Source organism: Homo sapiens, chromosome 1 (genome assembly GCF_000001405.40).
Source record: "Homo sapiens chromosome 1, GRCh38.p14 Primary Assembly".
NCBI lineage: Eukaryota > Metazoa > Chordata > Mammalia > Primates > Hominidae > Homo > Homo sapiens.
In genome coordinates, this window is record NC_000001.11 from 151,402,164 (window position 1) to 151,416,669 (window position 14,506).

Below are 14,506 nucleotides of genomic sequence, written 5' to 3' on the forward strand. Positions count from 1 at the left end.
GTTCAAATTCCCCTCCCAAATCTTCCTCCACTGCACTGGATTATCAAATACAGATTTCTTAATGTTGGCTGTGATTTTCATTAAAATACCACTTTAAAAATAATCTAGTAGAACTATTCTGCATCAGGTTGCCCTCAAGTCAGCTGGGGCATCAGCCATCCCTGGAATGGTTCTAAACCTGAATATTTTAGAGACAAAAGTCTCATTCTGTTGCCCAGGCTGGCGTGCAGTGGCATGATCATAGCCTACTACAGCCTTGAATTTCTGAGCTCAAGCAACCTCCTGCCTCAGCCTCCCAAGTGCTGGGATTACTGGCATGAGCCATCATGCCCAGCTTGAATTTTTAAAATGAACACTGTAGGCGATTCTGACACAAATCCTCTCCAAACTTCTTGAGAAAGAAAATATAGGCAGCAAATTCAAAGTACAGAAATTCAGTGAGAACTGAAGGAAAAAATAAAACCATCCCTCCATTTGCATTGTCCGTTAACAACAAACTTGTAAAGCCAAACAATGAGCTTTCAATCTGAAACCTCCACACATTCAGTCTCAACACAGGAAACAGTCAATAAATACATGTTTATTGATTAAACTGAATTATAAAAAACAAAACCAAAAAAAAATTTCCTTCTACTACTAAGCCATGCAGGCAGAGTCCACAAAGACAACTTCCTGGCCAAAACCCAGCTGATCCACTGTTGGTATAATCTTAAAAAAAATTACCCATCAAGAAAGTCAATCGTGTGCAGAAGACAGGAACCCCAGCTCTGCTAAGGCTGTGGCTGCTGCAGAGACTACCAAAGAGTAGGATTAGGTTGTAGATAGACGTGACCAACCATAGTTCTTGAACTTTCTCAAAGGCAAAGGCTGACTTCAAAGTCCATTGTCTGTCAATAAAATGGCATCAGGCAAAAAGCTGGGGAAGAGAAGCCCAGATGGATCCTTGGTTGTTTTCAGATGTCAAAGGTTCACAAAGCTGGCCAAGCTGTTTCTGGAAGGGACTTTTCCAGTTCACTATATTATAGTGTGCTGGGGGATGAAAAAACAAACAAACAAAAAAGCAGGGTGGGGTGGGAGAAATGGGTGGTAACAAATGTCACACCTGTACCACCAGGCCCATCACATCTTGAGCATTCCCCAGTCTGTGAAAGCCTATTAAACAGGGTCACCTAGAAAAAAAACAAGTTTATAAATCCATTTCCCCTCATTTTATTAAATGTTCCACTTATGTACATTTTAAAGACGAACCATTTACAAGCTTGTGCAGTTTGCCTCCTTGGCTCACAGGAGGGGAACATTGTGGAAAGCCTCAGGATAAACAGAAGACTTGGTTTTTTGCTCCTTTTCTCTGTACGGTACAGTACGTTTTGGTTTACAACCATGAGTACATACAATTAAAAAAATCCCTCATGCAAATTGTAGAAAAAATTTTCTTTCCTTGAAGCTGGCAGTGAAAAATAAAGATTCATGTCATTTTCTTTGTGCACACCCCTGTGCGCTTCTTCCTGTCAGATTCTTCCCTAAGTATTAAGAGAAATAGGGGAAAGCCACAGAGCACGCTGGATTTCAACAAGTGGTCTTGTCTTTTTAAAGTTCAACACTTCTTGAACAATTAGCTCCTGGCTGTAGGACCAGTAATCCCTTAAACAGGCATGCTCTCCATCTAACAGGATGAAGTTCAGTAAAGCAGGGACTGCCCCTGGGGGCTTACAGGATGAAGACTCAAACTGGGAATGGCTTCCACCCTAAAACTGTTTGATCGCTTCAGTATCTCTTGCTTGCTAATAACACCTGTATGATCCTTTGTCCAGAGGGATGGATGGTGTTGAGAATGGGGAAAGGGGCCAAGGATCACAAGTGCAAAAAATATTGTTTATGTCATGTTTTGGAGGGAAGGTGGTGAGGAAAAGACAAATCTATTCATTCTGGATAATTAAAGGTGGTTTCATGCATTTTTAAAGCCACAATTTTATATCTAGGGTTGCTGTAGAAACCAACATCTCTGGAGAGGGAAGGAAAGAAAAGGAGAAGGAAGAGAGAGTTCAGTGGGACTTTTTTTCCATTTTCATTTTTATATAAAAGTGTTAAGACCACAATGAAAAAAGTTTTTTATCCATATATATAATAAACCAGTTTGTGAGCTACATAATTTGTCTTTCCCATCTTCAGAAATGTTCTCACATTAACAATGATTAGATAGCATCATGCCCAAAGACATTGGCCACACAATAAAACAAACAAAAAAACCCAGTACTATGATACAATTGAGGTAAAAGGGGAAACAAAAAAATTTAACATTTGCCCACAAATAATTTTTTTTCTTTTTCTTAATTTTGTCAGAAAAATACCAAACACAGTGATTTAAATTTAAAAAAAAAAAAAGTCACAAAAACCTGTTTTTAGCAGAAGTGAATGACCAATGGGCCAGCTCCTTGGCTCAGACGTGATTACTATTGGTTTTCCTAATTAATCCACAAATCCACAGGGAAGTGTAAGTCAACTTCAGGGGGGAGTGGTGGTATAAAATTAAAAAATAGAAACCAAATACCCCACCTGGTATGCCCCCTTTTCCCTAAGCCCCTTTACCCTCCCTCACATGTTCCCACCCTCACTCCACACCCCCTCATGACCCCAACACTCAAATCTCCATCAGATCTAGGTCAGCTTCTTCAAAGCCATAGAAAGACTCGGTCTCACTTTCACCCTCAAAGAGCTGGTGAAGACTTTCAGGCTCAATTGTCTCTTCAGGAGATGATCTGGGTCGTGGAGTGGAAGACTCAGAATGTTCCCCACTCAGCTTCAGTTGCTCCTCTAGGGAGGCAATTAGCTCCTCCTGCATGTCAGCATTTCTTGTAGGTGAGTTAATGTTGCCATCGGGGCCAGGCAGAACACTAGCCACCAGGAAGGAGCGCTGAACTAGCTCTGGACAGTCCCCAATGACACCTAGCACTTCACCCAGCCAGACAAGCACCAGCTGAAGCAGGACATCAGAATCACATGCAGTATCTGCCATTTCCCGAGCCTGTTCCTTCCATTTTTTATGCAGGAAGTTCTTGACAGTTCTTTTGATGCATACATCTAATGGCTGAATTTTGGAGCTACAGCCTGCTGGGACCACTGCAGGCAAAGTGCTAGAGGCACTAAGCATAGCCAGTACCTCTTCTGACAAGTGAGTGCGATGACAGTCCATCACAAGCATGCCTTTGCTGCGCTGGCAAGCTGTGTGCTTCTGCCACACTCGAGTTGACCACAGCTCCATGATCTCGTCATCACTGTAGCCACTCTCCTTTGCCTCTAGCAATATGGAGTCTGGCATGTTAGCAGGCTGATCCATCTGCCCTCTGTAGAAAACCAGGGTGGGAAGGACAGTGCCATCTGCCAGAATGGCTAGGACTACATCACACCAAGGTTCCCCTGTGCCCACTGTCTGCAGGGCATTCTCCTTTCGATCATCACTGCTCAGCACCTCTGTATCCAGGAACAAAGAGATCTCATCAATAGCCACAATCATAGACAAGGGTAAGTCCTGGTTGTGAATCTGCCGTTGTACAAAATCAATGAAGAGTCCTGCATTCTCTGCTACATCCTTAGGTAGGGTGTGGGCCACAGCTCGCCGGGCATGGGGAGTCAGGTGGTGCCGCAGCATGAAACGCACAGCCCACTCATAGGAGATCTTAAACCCCCCTTCCAAAGAACGTCCTATTTTGGTGGCCTTCTGGAACAAGGTCTCCTCATTTACAGGTAGCTGTTGTTCGCGCTGGGTTAGCACCCACTCAGCCAGTTTCTCTTCTGCCTCAAAGCTCAGATATTTGCCCTCTAGATTCTCCCCCTGGGAGGCCTGGAAACGTCGAAGCCAACGGCGAATACGTCGCTGGGGATTTCGGAAGTGTTCAGCTGCCTGTTCTGTATTGCAGCATAGAGCAAACAGTACTACTCGAAGCTTCTTCACAGACAGCTGCTCCTTTTTGCCAACTCCACCACTACCACCACCACCTGATGCTAGCTCAGGTTCTTGGGTGACTGGGCTCCCTTCATCCTGATCATCAACATTCAGACATTCGGCTCCCTCTGTAGCCAGCGGTGGAAGGGCTAAAGCCTGCGGGTGAGTGGGGGTTGGTGGTGGGGTTGCAGTTGAGGCTGGTGATGGGAGTGCTGGGGCTAAGGGAGTTAGTAGCTCTTCAGGCTCAGCTGGGGTGGCCCCCGCAGATTTCACAGTGGCAGCTTTGTTAGTGGGGAAGGAAGGAGGAGGGTACATATTCTTCACGTTCCGGTCATGCACTCGGTCACGAGTCTGGCCATGCCTAAAGGGGTGAGGAGCAAAGAGAAGAGGAGAAATCTCAGTTCAACTAGGAAATTGAAACAATAATATGATAATAATAATAATAATAACAGAGTAAACACACTGCAAACCAGAAATTAAATTGTGAGGTGAGTTTTTGTTACCTTGAGTGAGCTATCCAAGTGAGTCCTATGGAAAATGAAACAACAAAAATAGTTAGCTCAGTGAAAAAATAAGCCCTCCAAAGACAGTGCCCTGGGATTCAACTTACTACATACAAATACGCTGTTCGCAGTGACCAGCTTTCCCAGTTTTATATAAACTTCAGGTCGGAAGGTTTCTAATTAGGTCCAGCACATCTCAACAGTGAATGAGTGAGGCCAAGTAGGTATGCTCCTGATGCATACAGTACGAACCTGTATCTTTTTTCCTCCCCTTGCTCAACTAATCCCCTTCTCTCCTACTTACCCCGTGGCAGGATGCTGCTGGATCTGTGAGAGGGGTTGAATACCAAATGCTTGGCCATAGCATCGCCCACAGAGGTAACAAAGGTACATGAAGTGCAGGCCAGCTTGATTCCACTAAAAAAGAGAATTGAGACTATGTAAGACAAACACAGCAGTGACACTTGAGACCATTAAGCTTTGAGGCTTAAGAAAGAAAAGGAATGCCCTCCCACTTTCTCCTTTTTCTGAAATTAATTCACATAACCACCTCTCCAAATAATGAAAAACCTGAAAATTAATGTAAAAACCTGAAAAATTAAGATGCTGCCAATAAGTTTTTTCTTACCTCACAGAATTTTTAAACAAAGCCAAATACTTGGGGCTCTTCCGTGGAACATGATTGCTGAGAAAGACAAAGAAGTGGTATGAGTTACGGAGTTCTGCTGGCTAAGCTAGAGATCACCAGCCAGTGACAATGCCCCCAACAAAAGAGACACTTCTTCAGTGCACCCTAATCTCAACCTAAGCCAGTTTTCCTGTCACCATGCTTCTTAAACTTTAATATGCATACAAGTCACTGAGGATCTATTAAAATTCACATTCTGGTTCAGTAGGCCTAGGGCGGGGCTGAGAGTCAGCATTTCTAACAAGCTCCCACCTAATACTACTGGTACTTGAATAGCAAGGCCCTATGAAATTAGAGCACAGACCATCAAAACCGAAAAAACAGAGCCTCTCACTCTGCTAGGAGAGAAGAACAAATAGCTCTAAGAGTTGAAGGAGGAAACATATTAGAAGCAGGGGAGAAAATGAAATGAGTGCTCAAGAATCTGGCTGGGGCCGGGCGCAGTGGCTCATGTCTGTAATCCCAGCACTTTAGGGAGGCCGAGGCAGGTGGATCACCTGAGCTCAGGAGTTTGAGACCAGCCTGGCCAACAAGGTGAAACCCCGTCTCTACTAAAAATACAAAAAAATCAGCCAGGCATGGTGGTGCACACCTATAATCCCAGCTACTTGGGAGGCTGAGACAGGAGAATCACTTGAACCCAGGAGGCAGAGGTTGCAGTGAGCCAAGATCATGCTATTGCACTCCAGCCTAGGGGACAGAGTGAGACCCTGTCTTCAAAAAAAAAAAAAAAAAAAGAAGAAGAAGAAGAAGAAAAAAAGAATCTGAACTCTCAAGCTAAAACACTGGTTAAAAACCAACTTACTTGATCATGTGGTTGGCATAAGCTCGAGAACAGCAGGTGCTATAGCGACACAGAGAGCAGTGTACGTAAGTAGGGAAATGATTAGGGAAGTCTGGGATCTCGAAGCTGCACTCCAGGCATGTCTGCCGGCCCATGACACTCCTGTGGGGGAAAAAAAAAAAGAATTCTCATTACTGCCTCATGGGTCCCCAAAATGTAGGATTTTCAGACAACAAACCCTGCTAAAAAGCTACCAGATTGCACTGTGTATCAGGAATAATCCTGGCCACCCAGTCCCCACCCGCCCAGCACTTAGAAGAAGGCGCTGACATTTTCCTAACAGCTCTCTTCTGGATGCTGCGCTGGACAGGGGGATAAAGGAAGACAGGCAGAGGGTCCATTGAGGAGGTCAGCGGTGCTGCCTCCTGCAAGGCGCTGGGAGGTGTATCATTAGAGGATACAGGAACAGTTCGTGGCTGCCCTCGGGAAGCCCGGATTGTCACCTGAGAACCAAGGGAAGTAACAATGAGACATCACCCACACTAAATTTCAGAATACTGAAAATCTCTATTCCTCCCTCCCTGGGCCTATAAAAGACACTGGCAAACTCTTTACCTTGGTGCCTGGTTTCAAGCCCTCCAGCTGCTTGGGTTTACGGAAGGTTTTATGGTGTTGAAGCTTGTGTTCAATTTTGTCCTTGGCAAAGAGAAACTGCAGCCGGCATTTGTTGCAGTGATAAACATTTCTCTTCTGAAGTGGGGGAGGGAAAAAAAGAGACAAAATCCCTTAAAGGTTCCTAATAAATTTTCTTTTTTGAGGAGAAAGCAGATCAATGTCAACCATATCATTCTTCCCACCTTTCTGTTGATAATTTAAGAGAGTAAGAAAGAAATATGCAACATGACCACAAAACCTACCATTGAGAATCATCACCTCCCATGATATCAAAGAAAGATGGATTCTAGTCCAGGATGACTAAGTTCTCAAATCATCCTTTCCTGACTTGTTTTAACAATTTGAATGAGTGATGTAACCTTTATTTGTATTATATCTTTACACTGCTGACAACTGGACATTCTTCTGGACATTCTTCATTCTTCTTTTTTTAAAAAAGGACAATGTACATAGTAAACTAAAGTCATACTTTTTTTTCTATACTCTTCCAACTTTGCTTTCAACTCCAACACTCAGTCCCCTTCCATACAAACAACTTATTACCAGTTTCCTGAGTATGCTTTCGTGGGCAGTCTACACATATAACTGTATCACAAATACATTCATATCCAATCATTACCTGCCTCGCCCCCTTTTTTTGAGACAGGGTCTCTCTCTGTAGCCCAGGCTGGAGTGCAGTGGCATGTTCATAGCTCACTGCACGTCCCAAGTAGCTGGGACTACAGGCACGTGCCACCACGCCCGGCTACTTTTTGTATTTTTTTGTAGAGACGGGGTGTCACCATGTTGCCCAGGCTGGTCTTCAACTCCTGGGTTCAAGTGATCTACCTGCCTTGGCCTCCCAAAGTGTTGGGATTACAGGCGTGCATCACTGTGCCTGGCCCTTACTTTTTTCCCTTTCCTTTTTGTAGAGATGTTGTCTCACCATGTTGCCCAGGCTGGACTCCACCTCCTGGGCTCAAGTGATCCTCCCACCTCAGCCCTCTTCTTTTTCTCCTTTTAACACAAATGATAGCACTTGTCTATACCTTGCTGTTTTCTCACTTAACACATCAGTATATACAGATATGTCTCCTGGTGAGACCACTTTGAGGATTCAGTCTGCCTAGTATTGAAGTCCTTCAAAAATAGAACCCATGTCTATGATTTTCTTTAGTAGGATAACAAAGCTCTGTAAGCTTAGGCTAAGAGACAATTTCCATGCCCCTATTTGGAAATACAGTTGTGGTAGACAATCAGCAGTCACTACTGTGCAAAGGAGACTATGAGTGTAATAGGGTACATATGTTTGTGTGCATATGTATGTGACTATTAAGCACACATGCACTCATCTTATTCTCCATTTTGAATCCTCTCTTATATACTATATACCTTTCACTCTCCTCTAGTGGCTCTCTTCTTGTAGTATTTTAAAACGAAGTCATAGCTTTTCATCTTATAAGGAAAATAAAAGCAATAAAAAACTCTTCTTTGCCACTTCTTCCTCTGGATTTACCTACCCTGGGTCCTCCCTTTTTATAAATAAACTTCTTTAAATACATCGTCTTCATTTCCTTACCTCTCATTCATTTGTTCTGCTGAAATGTGACTTCCACCCTACCAACCAACAAAATGGCTCTCATCAATGTTGCTAAATTAAAGGCCTGTTTCTAAGTCTCTATGTTGCTTGACACCTTCCTGTAACATATGACATTTTGATCACACCCTTTTCTTTAAAACACTTTCTTCTCCCCAGTTTCCTTAAGGTTAAGACTCTTCTGGTTTTCCTCCTAGTACTATGGTGGTTGCTTTATAGATAAGGGACTTCAAATATCCTAAGCCTTCTCTTATTCTCAACAGGGTTGGGGGGCCCATGGTATTTAAGTTTAAAATCTATAGGATTTATATAACGCTGATTCCTAAATCTTTTCTACAACCCAGAGTTCTCTCACAGGCTTGAGATCTATTATCCAACAGCTACACTTGACATCCACAGATACTGCTAACTTACAATATCCAAGCTCATGATCTCCCCCCTCACAAATATACTTTCTCTATTGTTTCTATTTCAGCAAATAGTTCCCTCATTCACCCAACTGCCCAAGACAGAATCTTAGGCACTATTCTTAACTACTGCATTGCTACCTTCACCTAATCCATCTCTACATCATAAATATCACAAATCTTCTGAATATCTCTCAACTCTACCCTCTTTTTATTTCAAAAGCCAATAGCCACTATCATCTCTCACCTAAACTACTGAAAAAGGCCTTCTAGCTAGTTTCCCTAACTGTAGTCTCAATCTCCTTTAATCCATTCTCTGCAGTGCAGGCAGTATAAAGCCTTAACTAAAGCTGAACACATCACTCCAGGGCTTAAAACCCCTTTAGTGGCTTCCCAGTGAATTCTTTTCATGGCTTAAAAGATCCTCCATGATCTGTCCCTGCCTAACTTCCAACCCCTCTGTCTCTTACACCCTACACTGAATCTCTCTCAATTTCTTGAACCTCCACAATTTTGCTTTGTGCCTTGGGCACACTGTTCTTCGTCTTATTTCATCTGGCTCATTCTTATTCATCCCTCAGGTATTGAACAACACTTCTTTCTGGAAGCCTTACTAGGCACCCAGAATAGCTATGTGATTTTCTATATCCTATAATTTCCCCAACACAGTACTCTTCATGTTTTATTGTATTGTTTGCCTTGTTTACTACTAAATCTCTAGCATCTAGACTAGTACATGGCACATTAAGTGAATTCAATAAATTTCTGCAAACATATGCATATTATAATCTCTGCCCAAATTATTTGCCTAGCTCAGCCCTGGCCCCAGCATCCATGTTTAAAAAAAAAAAAAACAAGAGAATATGGGAATTGCTTGGTGCCTAGTACCTGGTGCCTCATGTAATGCTGTTGGAATGCATTGCCATTTTTGAAGACCTTCAGGCAATAAGGGCAGAGCAGATGCCGGGTATCCTCATGGATCATCCGAAAATGGACATCTACCTCAGAGTAGAGTGAGGAGCGATATTGACACACCTGAGTCACATAGGAGGGAAAATAAGGCTAAGAATGAAGTGAACAACTGAGAGGCCTTAAAAAAAAAGGTAGCAACAAAAATTTTTAAATTAAAAAAAAAAAGTTTTCTCAAATGCATAGAAATCAAATTATTTTCCTGACTTTGTAATGCTGGGCTATGTTTGTGATAGGTTTAGCTATTACTTTAAAAATAGGAAGGGACAGAAAGTCTAAGAATAATCCATGTTCTCTAACTAAGAAAAATAAAGCCTTTTCTGTCAATTTCCAAAGGGCACGTTCAGGAGACAGACACTCCCTTAGAATATGCACATGTTCCCGGCTAGTCTACTTGTGGACATGTTCTTTTATGTTTTTCTCCTGCATGGAAACCCTGAAGATAAACTGTGTTTACTATTTCTTCTGTACCTACTCAGAGTTCCTAAACTGAGTGTATGCAGTAGGTGGTCAACAATATTCATTAGTAAATTCTTTGTATTCTTCCTGAGGGCAAAACTGCTAAAACTCCCTGGAGAAAAAGGCAATACCTGGCAAACATAAGGCATCTCTCCAGGCTTATGAGTATCCTTCATATGCTGGAGAAATAGTGGCTCACTTTCAAACGCCCATTCACAGATCTTGCACTTGGCTGTAAGAAGAAAAGTAATCAATAAATCCACTTGAAAATAAGACAAAAGTCCTGCTGACTCACAATCTTTATTTTCTCTGCCTCCTTTATTTTGATTTTCAACAATCAGTAAATCATAGGTCCCTTCTGTTCTTTCTTTAAATGGCTCCACCTTAACATATATGTTGCTGATAATCTTATGTACGTAGCTCAGACTTCTTACCAAAGCTTCATTCTAGATTTTATCTATAAGACATTTTAAATTGGTTATTCTATCGTCAACTCTAACCTAATTCAGCATCCTCCTGTCTTACCACTGTTTCCCTTTTTCCTTTCCCCATTTCTTCCTGAGCTCAAAATTTAGGCACTATCTCGGATTCCAAACCCTGCATTCTGTCACCATTATTTCAAACTGCATGTAGGAACTGTCACTTCTCTATACTTATAATAAGGCAAAAACTTGGTACTAGCCCATATGATTTCCCACTGCTAATCAGCTGGCCTCCAATACCTCCTACTCTCTTTGAAATTGTCCATTTTGTCAAGCTTATGAGAAAAAATTTTGACAAAATTTTATGACACAAATGAACAATTTTGTCAAACTTCTGAGACAATTTTTGGTAATTTCATGTTGGCCAGGTTGGTCTCGAACTCCTGACCTCAGGTGATCTACCTGTCCCAGCCTCCCAAAGTGCTGGGATTATAGGTGTGAGCCACCGTGCCTGGGCTTTTTTTTTTTTTTTTTTTTTTAAGAGACAGAATCTCACTGTTGCTCAGGCTGGAGCATGATCATAGCTCACCGCAGCCTCCTGAGTAGCTAGGACTATCCTTTGAGCTCAAGCGAGCCTCCTGTTTCAGCCTCCCAAGTAGCTAGGACTACAGTGGTGCACCACCATGCCCAAGTAATTAAAAAAAATTTTTTTTTGTAGGGACAGGGTCTCGCCATGTTGCCCAGGCTGGTCGGAAACTCCTGGCCTCAAGCAATCCTTTTGTCAATCCACTTCAGTCTCCCAAAGTGCTAGAATTACAGGTGTGAGCCAGTGCACCGGCCAATTTTGGTAAGACTTTTAACTGCTACATATTTTTAATTATACAGTATGGCAAAAAGAGAGAGATTATTTACATTTTTGTCACTTTAATGGAATTAGTTTCAAGTTTTTGCAAATATGAAAACTGGAAGCTTAAAGCCTTGGGCATTTACTGGACAATGTCTAACCTCCCCCCGCCCCCAGCCCCCTACACCCCAGCCAAAGAAATATGAATAAAGTTGAAATAATTCTTTTTTCTTTTTTTAACTACCGAGAACCCTGGATTTTTGTTTTGAGACAGAGTCTCGTTCTGTCTCGCACGCTAGAGCGCAGTGGCTCAATCATGGCTCACTGCAACCCTGACCTCCCAAGCTCAAGCAATCCTCCCATCTCAGCCTCCCAAAGTACCAGAATTACAGGTATGAGCCACTGTGCCTAGCCAAGTAATTTTTTAAAGTAAAACAAACAAACAAAAGCCAGGGGTTCTTAATCTGGGGTCTATGGAACAGGCCTCTAGGAATCCAGGCTTTCTCTGAAATTATTTGCAAAAGAGTAAAATGTAGATTTTTCTAGGAAGAGGATTCAAACATTTCATATTTATTCTCAAAGAGGTCTGCAACTCCATTTAGAAACACTGTCTACAGGTACATTAGGTGCTATGAGGACATGGATAAATAAGAAATTCTGCATAAAGGAATGAGGAAAAGCTATAACAACATATAAAAGCTGAATTGTCAAAGAATGGGGCTCAGCCAGCCAGAGAGAGGACCAAGAGAAAAGCAGGAGGAAAGGCAAGTAGGTATGAAAGTTAACCACATGTTTGGGAAACAGTTAACTAGCAACATAACGATATTATCTCTTTTCCACTCACCCCCCGATTTGTTTACCTCTCTCATTTTTCTCTTCTAGAACACCTTTAAGCAATATTTTGTCCAGGCCTTTCTTAGTCTATGTTTTCCCTGGGCAATCTCATTCACTCTTTCTCCTATAACCTATTTATCAGCTCTATTTTCACAGCTGTCATGCAACATCAATAATAAAAACACTTATTAAGCAATTTCTAATGTACAAGCATCAGGTTAAGATTTACATGTGTTGGCTGGGCACGGTGGCTCATGCCTGTAATCCCAACACTTTGGGAGGCCAAGGCAGGCGGATCACCTGAGGTTGGGAGTTCAAGACAAGCCTGACCAACATGGAGAAACCCTGTCTCTACTAAAAATACAAAATCAGCCGGGCACAGTAATGCATGTCTGTAGTCCCAGCTACTTGGGAGGCTGAGGCAAGAGAATCGCTTGAAGCTGGGAGGCAGAGGCTGCGGTGAGCCAAGATGGCGCCACTACACTCCAGCCTGGGCAACAAGAGCGAAACTCCCTCAAAAAAAAGAAAAAAAAGATTTACATTGTGTTATCTCAAGAAAACTAGTGAGGTAGGAACTCAAATATAAGGGGATTTAAGAGATCTCTGGTAACCTTTGACACATCAGTTCTACAGGGGAAGGAGCTAATACAGAAAAAGATTCAAGAGGGAAAATGAATTGATTCTCCATGGTGGCTGTCCTAACTGTCCCTCTGAGCACCATCACCCTCCTTAACACCTAACACAATCTCCTACTTTGAGGAAATAGGCATGAACAACTGTAACTTCTGCTGCTTGTTTTCCAAATTATGGAAGGATAGATCTCTTGTACCTTCCTAAGGCTCATCCAACCTCATCATGCCATGTATTCCAAGATTTTGTCAATTTGTTTTCCCTGTCTTCAATCTTCCCCAACCCCGACAGGCTCCGACTCCTAAACATGGTTAAGCTCCTTAAAGCATCCTTCTCTCAATCCTATTTCTTCCTCAAACTTTCTCCTTTCCACTAACACAAGATTTTTTGAAAGATTAGAATAACCTACATCTGTTACCTTTAATGAGATGCTCAGGAAGTGGAGGTAACAATGCCAGGAAGAAAAATGTTATAATATTTGAAGAAATGGGCCGGGTGTGGTGGCTCACGCCTGTAATCCCAGCACTTTGGGAGGCCGAGGCCGGTGGATCACGAGTTCAGGAGATCGAGACCATTCTATCCTGGCTAACACGATGAAACCCCGTCTCTACTAAAAATGCAAAAAAATTAGCCGGGCGTGGTGGTGGGTGCCTGTAGTCCCAGCTACTCGGGAGGCTGAGGCAGAAGAATGGCGTGAACCCAGGAGACAGAGCTTGCAGTGAGCCGAGATCGCACCACTGCACTCCAGCCTGGGCAAAAGAGCGAGACTCCGTCTCAAAAAAAAAAAAAAAAAAAAGAATATTTGAAGAAATGTACCTTAAGATAGCCACTATGGAAAACAGGAATAATAACTAACAGTCTTAACCATTTTTTAGTCCCAAATCTCACACTAACAAAAGCTATGCAACCTCTCCCTTGAAAAATGCACACACACAGGCAAAGTTTATATGTAATTTCAAGGGGCTCACAGGACACCTCACCACCAAGCAGGTTAAGATTTCTGTATTAGACATAAATATTAAAAGACTATGAATCAGGGCCGGGTGCACTGGCTCACGCCTGTAATCTCAGAGCTTTGGGAGGCAGAGGCAGGCGGATCATCTGAAGTCAGGAGTTCAAGACCAGCCTGGCCAACATGGCGAAACCCCGCCTCTAATACAAAAATTAGCCGGGTGTGGTGGTGCACGCCTGTAATCCCAGCTACTCGGGAGGCTGAGGCAGAAGAATTGCTTGAACCTGTGACGCGGAGGTTGCAGTGAGCTGAGACTGTGCCACTGCACACACCAGCCTGGGTGACAAGAGTGAAACTCCATCTCAAAAAAAAAAAAAAAAAAAAAAAAAGAAAAAGAAAGAAAAGAAAAAAAAAAAGACTATGAATCAGACAGAGTGCGGTGGCTCACGCCTGTAATCCCAGCACTCTGGGAGGCCAAAGCGGGTGGCTCACTTGAGGCTAGGAGTTAGAGACCAGCCTGGCCAACATGCCTGTAGTCCCAGCTACTTGGAAGGATGAGGCAGGAGAACTGCCTGAACCCAGGAGGCTTAAGTTGCACTGAGCTGTGATTGCGTCACTGCATTCCAGCCTGTGTGACAGGGTGAGATTCTGTCTCAAAAAAGACTAAGAATCAGCATTAGACAAACTTATGAAAAGAACCCTAGGGCCATACAAGCTCCTTCAAGTCACTGCACTGCTCTTAAACAAGTGTGAATAAAAATGTAATACTACTTTTTGGGTTTTTTTTTTTTTTTTGAGATAGGGCCTTACTCTGTCACCCAGG

At 42.7% G+C, this 14,506-nt stretch overlaps 1 protein-coding gene across 16 annotated transcripts in view; it reads right to left on the minus strand.

Moving 5' to 3' along the window:
- The window catches only part of POGZ (pogo transposable element derived with ZNF domain), a 56,771-nt gene continuing 42,825 nt past the window's right edge, over positions 561-14,506 (minus strand). For 15 of the 16 annotated variants that reach the window (NM_001194938.2, XM_005245005.3, NM_145796.4 and 12 more), the window contains 9 exons: positions 10,133-10,233; positions 9,462-9,608; positions 6,531-6,665; positions 6,246-6,418; positions 5,937-6,077; positions 5,072-5,128; positions 4,748-4,860; positions 4,444-4,468; positions 561-4,301 (listed from right to left, as the gene is read on the minus strand). In NM_001194938.2, the coding sequence (NP_001181867.1) occupies positions 2,639-4,301; positions 4,444-4,468; positions 4,748-4,860; positions 5,072-5,128; positions 5,937-6,077; positions 6,246-6,418; positions 6,531-6,665; positions 9,462-9,608; positions 10,133-10,233 (2,555 nt within the window). In that variant the 3' untranslated portion in view covers positions 561-2,638. Of the gene's footprint in view, positions 4,302-4,443; positions 4,469-4,747; positions 4,861-5,071; positions 5,129-5,936; positions 6,078-6,245; positions 6,419-6,530; positions 6,666-9,461; positions 9,609-10,132; positions 10,234-14,506 lie in introns of those variants that run through there. The other variant, XM_047450074.1, reaches the window with a different exon arrangement.